The following is a 10458-nucleotide window of genomic DNA, read 5'->3' as shown; positions in this document are numbered from 1 at the left end:
TGACAGGCTGGTATTCCAGCTGCTTAGTTCAACACCGTATTTCTCTAATGTCTTTCGCTGTACATAAAGGGGACCACAAACTAATTACTAAGCCATGGATAGTCAAGAAGTTAAAAGTTTTAAGCAAAAAATGCCATAGTTTGCCACTTAATCAGATAATTTTATTTTCTTTAATAGACTTCATTTTTTAGAGCAGTTTTTGGTTCTCAGCAAAATTGAGCATGAAGTACAAGATAGAGCCATTTAATTTCGAAACAATATGCTATTAGCCTAGATCATGATTTCATTTGTCAAACTAGATTTTTCTTACAGAAATAGCACTGAAGTCCTATTACAAATATCTTTATCTTTGCCAATCACCTAAATTAAGACTGTAGATCATAAAACATGTTAGACATATAACCAAGAACTCCAGCCAATTAGTCAGATGGTATTGTCTGAAACACTCTTTACTGGCCTTATATATTGAATTTTGCCATACCTAGATGCTGTGGAGGAACTAGAAATGAGAGCAATAAAATTAGGATTGGCAGCGGTACAATCCTACGACTTTTCTGGTTAGCAAGGACATACACCATCCTCCTCCCACACCCATACCTAGCACTCAACTGACCTCTTTCTGAGACAATCATATTAATCTGTTAAATATCTACTTTTGATAACACTGTAGAGTGAATTAAGTACTACTGACTAGGAAAATTAAACATATGCTACCTAGGAGAGGGAAAAATATACTCCAAATAGCTAGCTAAAGTGCAGTATATTGTAAGGGCCATTAAAGTGATTCCAATAAAGTGTTTTGAGAGTTTAACAGAAGGAAAGATAATTTCCACTTGGGGTATTGAGGATGTGTTCTTAAAGGAGGTATTATCTGAAGCAAAGCCTTTAAGATAGCAATGAAAACTGAGGAGAAGAAGGATACTTAAAGAAAATAAATTGTGTGAGCAAAGACTTAGAGATCAGAAAGAGTAAGGCATGTCTGAGAAACAGTAAATAGCCCTATATTTTTATGGCATGAGTTGTAATGTCTTCTTTTTCATTTCTGAGTTTGTTTATTTGGGTTTTCTCTTTTGTTCTTAGTCTAGCTAATGTTTTGTCACTTTTGTTTATCTTTTCAAAAAACCAACTTCTTGTTTTATTGATCTTTTGTACTTTTTTGTTCTCTATTTCATTTATTTCTGCTCTGATTTTTATTATTTCTTTCTTTCTACTAATTTTAAGTTTTATTTGTTGTTGCTTTTCTGGTTCCTTGAGGTGCATCATTGGGTTATTTATTTGAGATTTAAAGGGAGAGATAGACCCCAATATAATAATAGCTGGGGACTTCAACACTTTACTCATAGCATCAGACTGATCATCTAGACAAAAAATCAACATAGAAACATTGGATTTAAGCTGCACTTTAGAGCAAATGGTCTTAATAGACATATACAGAACATGTCATTCAACAGCTGTAGAATGTATATTCTTCTCATCAGCATGTAGAACATTTTCCAGGATAGACCATATGTTACGTGACAAAACAAGTCTGAACAATTTTTTTTTAAATCATACTAAATCTCTTTTCAGCCCACAATGGAACAAAACTAGAAATCAGTAACAAAAAAACCTTTGGAAACTGTACAAATACCTGGAAATTAAACAATATCCTCCCGAATGACCTATGGGTTAATGAAGAAATTAAGAAGGATATTTAAAAATTTCTTGAAACCAATGGAAATAGAAACACAACATACCAAAATCTGTGAGATACAGCAAAAGTAGTACCAAGACGGAAATTTATAAGCAGAAATGCCTACATCAAAAAAGCCCTCTGTTTTTGGAGGAAAGAGATGAGTACAGGAGAGTGGTTCATTTGCCTAGAAAGATGCATGTGAATCAAATTATAAGAGGCCTTGAACACCAGCTGAAAGGCGCTAAGGTGTATGAATTACTTATGTGCCAGGGACCATATTAGATTTACATACATGGCATCATTTCATCTTTGCAAAAAAAAAAAAAAAAAGGTTAAGTGGCATTAGACCCATTTGCACATCTTTTGCTCAGAATCACAGAGCTTTGTAAGGCAGAATCAGACTGAACTCAGCTGGCCTGGCTGTAAAGTCCACATACTCCACAACACCACCATGCTCCTGTTAGACCAGATTCTGCAGGCCATGGAGATCAGTGGTCATCAGATTCTATCAGTCTTACCCAGAAATGTCTGACACTGATCCATCTCTGAGGCTTATTATCTTTCATCCAATCTTCTGCAATAGCTTCCTCTTGGACTACAGGTTTTTCATTGTTCCTCCCTTTACCTACCCTTTCCATGCTGCCTGACTTATCTTTCTGTAAGATTTCATTTCCTGATCTTCAAGGGAGCAGCACTGTAAGCACAGCAAACTGCTAATTGGCACCCACAGCCCTCCACACCCAGGCCCAACCTATTTTTTCATTCTCACATTGCAGGACTCCTGACTCCACCTGTACTCCAGGCACACCAACATTTTCACCACTGTGATAATATCCCTTCCATATAAGACACATCAGAATTGGCAGAAAGGAGTGGAGGAATGAGGTGGAAGGGAGGTGAGGTATATTTTTGACTGTGAACCTTTGTTCTTTGTTTTCTCTGCTTGATGCCCTTGTTCTGTCTGCTCATATAGAGATATAAGTCCTGCCCCTTTGTCCCCTCTGTGAAACAGTCTCTAACCATCCCCAGTAAGAATTCTTTGCTCCTACTTGTGTGTTCTCCTGTTTGAACTTACAGGCAGTTACCTGCCTCTCTCCCTTCTAGAAAGTATTCTTAAATGCAAACACTGTCTTTTCCATCCTTGTATAATCAGTATCTAACTAGTGTCTAGCACAGGGTCAATACTCACAGGGCAGACTTGACATAGGCATATTTCTTGTTGCAAGGGTGGGTGACAGCCATCAGCAGGGGCAGCCACAGGTCATATGTAGTGCAATGAAGCCTTGCACTATGCTAAATAGAATATCATTTACTGAGAAGTTGGGCTGACCTCAGCAGCCTCCTCGTAAGCTCTTAGACTTGACCTTATCCCTCTACTTCTTCCTTCTCATTCTAAATGTTAGCTGTCTTACAATAAGTTCTTACCCACTAGTCTTTATTTCCATCTCTAACATCACTCCAATGTCTCTGTTTTAAGTATCTTAACAAATAGGTTTCATTTTTAATTGATTTTGAATTTCAATTATTTTAATCTCATATATATTCATACATATTATAGGCTGGTCCCTAAGGGGTTTTTCAGGAGCCATTAACCATTGTTAAATAAAAACCTGTTGTAATTTGGCTTTTATGTGTGGCTCTCTCTCCAGTCAACAAGAAAACATGTGCTGCTGCTGTGTTGAGCTCTTTTGGTGGGTTTCCCACAGCAAAGCTTTGCTGTGCACTATATCCCTCTCTTTCTCAGAGCATCATGTACTCGAGAAGATGTGGGGGTCTGAGATGGGAATGGTCAGGCATAGCCCCCCATTGTACCTGGTTATCCTTCCCTACTGCTCAGTCTCATCCACTCATGACTCAGGCCAGCCTCATTTGAGGAACTTCAGTCCATCAGTCACCTCTGAAAGTGTCTTAGCCCCAATATTACCTGAATTCAGAAGGTAGATGACCCCTTCTCAGTTCAATGGTGATTGCCAACACTCAATATTTACTCCAAACCGTTGCCCACAAGGGACATAACATCATTAAACCCAACATAAAATTAACAGCCCTCAAGTGCCTAGGACATGATATCTCCCTTGAAGGACACACTTTATCTTCTAAAAGAAGTAACATTGTCATCAATTTCCCTTTCCCCAAGGCCAAAAGACAACTCTGACTATTTTTAGAATACATTGGCTATTGCCAAAACTGGATCCCTAACTTTTCTGCTATTGCTCCTCCCTAATGCCCCCTAATTGGGCTTCTGAGCCTGCATTTCAGAGCCTCAAGTCCTCTCTATCCTCTTCCCTCACTGTTAGATGCCCCAATTACTCATCAACTTTTCCCTTTTTATACATGAAAGGGATGAATACACTTTAGGTGTCCTCAACCAAATCACAGCTCTCTTCTTCACCACCAAAACTGCTGCAAGACTACAAAGAATACAACCTTAGGTTCACATTTCATAATTAAAAAAATACAAGTCTTCAAACAGAAATTCACTCCAAAAGGAAACATTAAATTGGAGGTCTTTCAAGAGCCCCTAGAAGCAGATGATGACATGAGATAGACTTCTTTCCCAAGAACAACTGCATGATGCCATCAGGTGGCTGACTTCTACCCAAGACACCAGAACAAGATCCCCTATGAGTCCTATTTTTAATTCCCTCCATATTCTCCCTTTGTGTCCTTCTTACTGTCCTCATTATCTTTTTGCACTCATAAGTACAAAAGCTTTCTGAAACAGGTCTGCTCTTTTCCTTTTTGCCCTCCCTACCATTTCTTTCTTCTCTATTCCCCATTTACCTACCTTCAGAAAGGATGCTCAAAACTTTTGGATGGCTTGTACTGAAGAGACTACTCAAATCTTAAAATCTTTCTTAAACTCATTGCTTTTATTCATCCTTTTCCCTCTTGGATCAACCATCTGATATAGTTTGGATCTGTGTTCCCACCAAATCTCATGTTGAATTGTAGTCCCCAGTGTTGGAGGTGGGACCCAGTGGGAGGTGGTTGGATCATGGGGGTGGACTTCTCGTGAATGGTTTAGCACCATCCCCTTGGTGCTGTTGTTGTGATAGAGCGTGAGTTCTCATTTTTGAGATCTGGTTTTTTAAAAATGTGCAGCATCTGTGCCCTCACTCTCTCTTGCTCCTGCTCCTGCCATGTGAGATGCTTCACTCCTTTTTTACCTTTCACCATGACTGGAAACTTCTTGAGGCCTCTCCAGAAGAAGAAGCCACTGTGCTTCCTGTATAGCTTGCAGAACAGTGAGCCAATTAAACCTCTTTTCTTTATAAATTGCCCAGGCTCAGTTATTTCTTTATAGCAGTGCAAGACTATACTTTGCACCATCTTCCCCCAAATTACTCTTCTCATTTTTAAAATCTCCACAGCTATTGATTTAGCTGTTTTCCTCTGCACAATGTTAGGAAATTGTTCCTATATTTTATATCAATCACACAAGCATCCAAATAGAATCTGAACCACTTTTTTAAAAAGTCATTTTTATTTCTCTCACAATTTTACAGACAATAATGCTTTATGTTCTAGTTTCTGGCTTTACAGCATTTACTCTGTCAACTCTGATGACAGTACTTGTAACGATTAATCATTGTCCCAGAGCAAATACAACATTATATGAAGTAAGTTTACCATGGGGAATTGCTATGGGGACACTAAAGATTTACATATGGAAAAGTACCAATGAAGATATTCCCCTTATAGCCATACCCTTTCCTCAACCTAGTATAGTGGAAGAGAATTGCTCCCACTTCACTTGGTTAGCCACAAAAGACAACTATTTCATTTATGGAAGAGGAAACTACTGGTATCTCCTAGAACACTGGACAGGCTCATGTTATCTAGCCAATCTTGTCAACCCCTACCATATATTATCAGGGGAACCCACCCCTAATATTTCAGCGTACGTTCTTTCTATTTTCCCTAAGTGTCGGCCGGTCTGAGAAATAAAGTGAAAGAGTACAAAGAAAGGAATTTTACAGCTGGGCCGCCAGGGATGACATCACATATTGGTAGGTCTGTGATGCCCCCCGAGCCACAAAACCAGCAGGTTTTTATTAAGGACTTCAAAAGGGGAGGAGGTGTACAAACAGGGAGTAGGTCACAAAGATCATATGCTTCAAAGGGAAATAAAGATCACAAGGCAAAGGGCAAAACAAAGATCACAAGGCAAAGGGCAAAATCAAAAACTCCTGATAATGATCTATGTTCAGCTGTGCATGTATTGTCTTGATAAACATCTTAAACAACAGAAAACAGGGTTCAAGAGCAGAGAACTGGTCTGACCTCAAATTTACCAGGGTGGGGTTTCTTCTCAACACTAATAAGCCTGAGGGTACTGCAGGAGACCAGAGCGTATTTCAGTCCTTATCTCAACCACATAAGACAGATACTCCCAGAGCGTTTATAGACCACCCCCCAGGAATGCATTCCTTCCCCAGGGTATTAATTATTAATATTCCTTGCTGGGAAAAGAATTCAGTGATATCTTCCCTACTTCCATGTCCATTTATAGGCTCTCTGCAAGAAGAAAAATATGGCTCTATTCTGCCTGACCCTGCAGGCAGTCAGACCTTATGGTTGGCTTCCCTTGTTCCCTGAAAATCGCTGTTATTCTGTTCTTTTTCAAGGTGCACTGATTTCATATTGTTCAAACACACGTTTTACAGTCAATTTGTACAATAGTGGTCCTGAGGTGACATACATTCTCACCTTACAAAGATAACAGGATTAAGAGATTAAAGTAAAGACAGGCATAAGAAATTATAAGAGTATTATTTGGGAGCTCATAAATGTCCATGAAATCTTCACAATTTACGTTCAGAGATTGCAGTAAAGACAGGCATAAGAAATTATAAAAGTATTAATTTTGGGAACTGATATGTGTCCATATTAAAATGAAATCTTCGCAATTTACGTTCCTCTATCGCGGCTCCAGCCGGTCCTTCCATTCGGGGTCCTTGACTTCCCGCAACAATATATGTAGCTCAACTACCTTCTTAAACTATTTAAATTCCCCTCTGTCCTTTCTAATGTCCATCATTGGTCTTGATGGTGCACTAGTAACTGTGCCTCCCGAAAATGTAGAGGTTGGCACCAAAATATTACTGCATTCTTCCTTTCATTGCTAGATCTCAGATCTTCCTTGAAAAGGAAGCTGAGATAGTAGGAAATCTCCAGAACTTAAAGCTGCATTTGATCACATTTAGGCTACTTTTGTGCCTGGAGCAGCTGCAGTATGGGATACTCAGAGTGAAGAGAAATTCTATCTTCCATGCTCTAATATGGGAGATAACCATGCCTGCAAACAACCAAATAAATAACCTCACTCTTTCCACCCCAGAATTTCAAAAGACTCAATACACAGAGCTCCATAACTGACTGGCACTCAACATGACCTTGGTATCTAGAGGTGAGACATGCTTTGTTTGGAAGCAGCTGCTACATGATTGTTATCCAAAATGTCTCTGACCTCTACATCATAAACGAGAATATTCAGTTGCTAGTGAGGAAATGCATGCCGCTGCCACCACAGTCCTAACTCAATCAAAAAAGGACCTCGTCACATCAATTTCCTGGAATCCACTAGATTGGATGCTTCCTGGCCTCAAGTCTCGGTTTTACTCCTTAACACACCTCTCATGGTTATTTTTCTGCTTTTGCTTATAAGTATCTCCTGATTAAAGGTCTTGTCTCCAGAAACCTTCTCAGTTCCAGATCACCATCAGAGCCTAATACAGGCATACCTCAGAGATATTGTGGGTTTGGTTCCAGATCACCTCAATAAAGCAAATATTGCAATAAAGCAAGTCATAATTTTTTTTTTTGGTTTCCCAGTACATATGAAAGGTTTTTTTATACTTTACTGTATTTTATTATGTGTGAAATAGCATTGGGTCTAAAAAAAACCCAATGTACACACCTTAAAAATACTTTATTGCTGGCTGGCTGCAGTGGCTCACGCCTGTAATCCCAGCACTTTGGGAGGCCGAAGTGGGTGGATCACGAAGTCAGGAGATCAAGACCATCCTGGCTAATGCAGTGAAACCCCGTCTCTACTAAAAATAGAAAAAATTAGCCAGGCATCGTGGTGGGTGCCTGTAGTCCCAGCTACTCGGGAGGCTGAGGCAGGAGAATGGCATGAACCCGGGAGGCGGAGCTTGCAGTGAGCCGAGATTGCTCCACTGCACTCCATCCAGCCTGGTTGACAGAGTGAGACTCCGTCTCAAAAAAAAAAAAAAACTTTATTGCTAAAAAATGCTAATGGTCATATGAGACTTCAACAAATTGTATCTTTTTGCTGGTGGAGGGTCTTGCCTCAGTATTGATGGCTGCTGACTTCATCAGAGTGGTGGTTGCTAAAGGTTGGGGTGGCTGTGGCAATTTCTCAAAATACAATAACAATGAAGTTGGCTGCATCGATTGACTCTTTCACAAAAGATTGATTTCTCTATAGCATGTGATGCTTTTTGTAGCATTTTACCCACAGTAGAACTTCTTTCAAAATTGGAGTCAATCCTGTCAAACCTGGCAGTTGCTTTACCCATTAAGTTTCAACAATGTTCACAGCAACTTCTCATCCAATCAAGTTTCATCATTAGATTGCAGCAATTCAGTCACATCTTCAGGCTCAACTTCTAATTCTAGTTATCTTGCTATTTCCACCACATGTGCTGTTACTATTTCCACTGAAATCTTAAACCACTCAAAATCATCCATGAGGGTTGGAATCAACTTCTTCTAAACCCCTGTTAATGATGATATTTTGACCTTGCCCCATGAATCAGGAATAGTTTTTGTTGTTGTTGTTTGTTTTTTTGTTTTTTTTTTAGATGGAGTCTCGCTCTGTCACCCAGGCTGGAGTGCAGTGGTGTGATCTTGGCTCACTGCAACCTCTGCCTCCTGGATTCAAGTGATTCTCCTGCCTCAGCCTCCTGAGCAGCTGGGAGTACAGACATGCATCACTATGCCTAGCTAACTTTTGTGTATTTTTAGTAGAGATGGGGATTCTCCATGTTGGCCAGGCTGGTTTCGAACTCCTGACCTCATGTTATGCACCCACCTCGGCCTCCCAAAGTGCTAGGATTACAGGTGTGAGCCACCTTGCCCGACCAGGAATAGTCTTAATGATGTGTAGAATGGTGAATTTTTTCAGAAGTTTTTCAACTTATTTTCCCAGATCCATTGGATGAATCACCCCCTATGGTAGCCATAGCTTTATGAAATATATTTCTTTTTCTTTCTTTCTTTCCTTTTTTTTTTTTTTGAGATGGAGTTTCACTCTATCACCCAGGCTGGAGTGCAGTGGTGCAAACTCAGCTCACTGCAACCTCCACCTGCTGAGTTCAAGTGATTCTCCTGCTTCAGCCTCCTGTATAGCTGGGATTACAGGCATGCGCCACTGCACCCAGCCTGAAATATCTTTCTTAAATAATAAGATTTGAAAGTCAAAATTACTCCTTGATCCATGGGGTGCAGAATGGAGCCCATGGAGCCCACCTAGGTATTAAGCACAGTAGTTGCTAAGCTTCCTGATGTGCTGCTGGATTTGGTTTGCCAGTATTTTGTTGAGGATTTTTGCATGGATGTTCATCAAGGATATTGGCCTGAAGTTTTCTTTTTTTTTGTTGTGTCTCTGCAGGTTTTGGTATCAAGATGATTTTGGCCTTATAGAATGAGTTAGGAAGGACTGCCCCCCCCCACTCAAGTTTTTGGAATAGTCTCAGCAGGAGTGATTCCCAGCTCTTCTTTGTACATCTGGTGATCCACAAAGGTGTTTATAATATTCTCTGATGATTATGTGTATTTCTGTGGGGTCAGTGGTAATATTTCCCTTGTTGTTTCTAATTGTGTTAATTTGGGACTTCTCTTTTTTCTTCTTTATTAGTCTAGCTAGCAGTTTATCTATTTTATTAATTTTTTCAAAAAACCAGCTCCTTGATTTATTTATTATTTATTGAGATGGAGTTTGCTTTTGTTGCCCAGGCTGGAGTGCAATGGCGTGATCTCAGCTCACCGCAACCTCCGCCTCCCAGGTTCAAGCGATTCTCCTGCCTCAGCCTCTTGAGTATCTGGGATTACAGGCATGCACCACCACGCCCAGGTAATTTTTGTATTTTTAGTAGAGACAGGGTTTCTTCATGTTGGTCAGGCTGGTCTCGAACTCCCGACGTCAGGTGATCTGCCCGCTTCGGCCTCCCAAAGTGCTGGGATTACAGGCGTGAGCCACCGTGCCCTGCCTCATTGATTTTTTAAAATGGTTTTTGTATTTAAATCTTCTTCAGTTAATGTCTGATTTTGCTTTTTTCTTGTCTTCTAGTTTTGAGGTTGGGTTTCTCTTGGCTCTTTAGCCCTTTTATTAAGTTGGTGAAAATGTGATTTCAGTTTTTGCATTATTGGAATTTGCTGTTTGATATTGGAATACATTCTTAAATAAAAGTGGTTACGTTGTACATTGTTTCAATGCACATTTCTTGCTTTTTTTTTTGCTAATGACTTATCACTTGCTGTTTATTTTATGTTTATTTTAGACTATGGAAATGATATTAGACAAAAAGCACATTCTAGCAGTTTTCTTATTCGAGTTCAAAATGAGTCATAAAGCAGCGGAGACAACTTGTAGCATCAACGCATTTGGCCTAGGAACTGCTAGTGAATGTACAGGGCAGTGGTGGTTCAAGAAGTTTTGCAAAGGAGATGAGAGCCTTGAAAATGAAGAGTGTAGTGAACTGCCATTGGAATTTGACAATGACCAATTGAGAGCAATTATAGAAGCTGATCCT

The sequence above is a fragment of the Homo sapiens genome, chromosome 8 (genome assembly GCF_000001405.40).
Source record: "Homo sapiens chromosome 8, GRCh38.p14 Primary Assembly".
Lineage (NCBI taxonomy): Eukaryota > Metazoa > Chordata > Mammalia > Primates > Hominidae > Homo > Homo sapiens.
Note: the sequence above shows the minus strand (reverse complement) of the source record.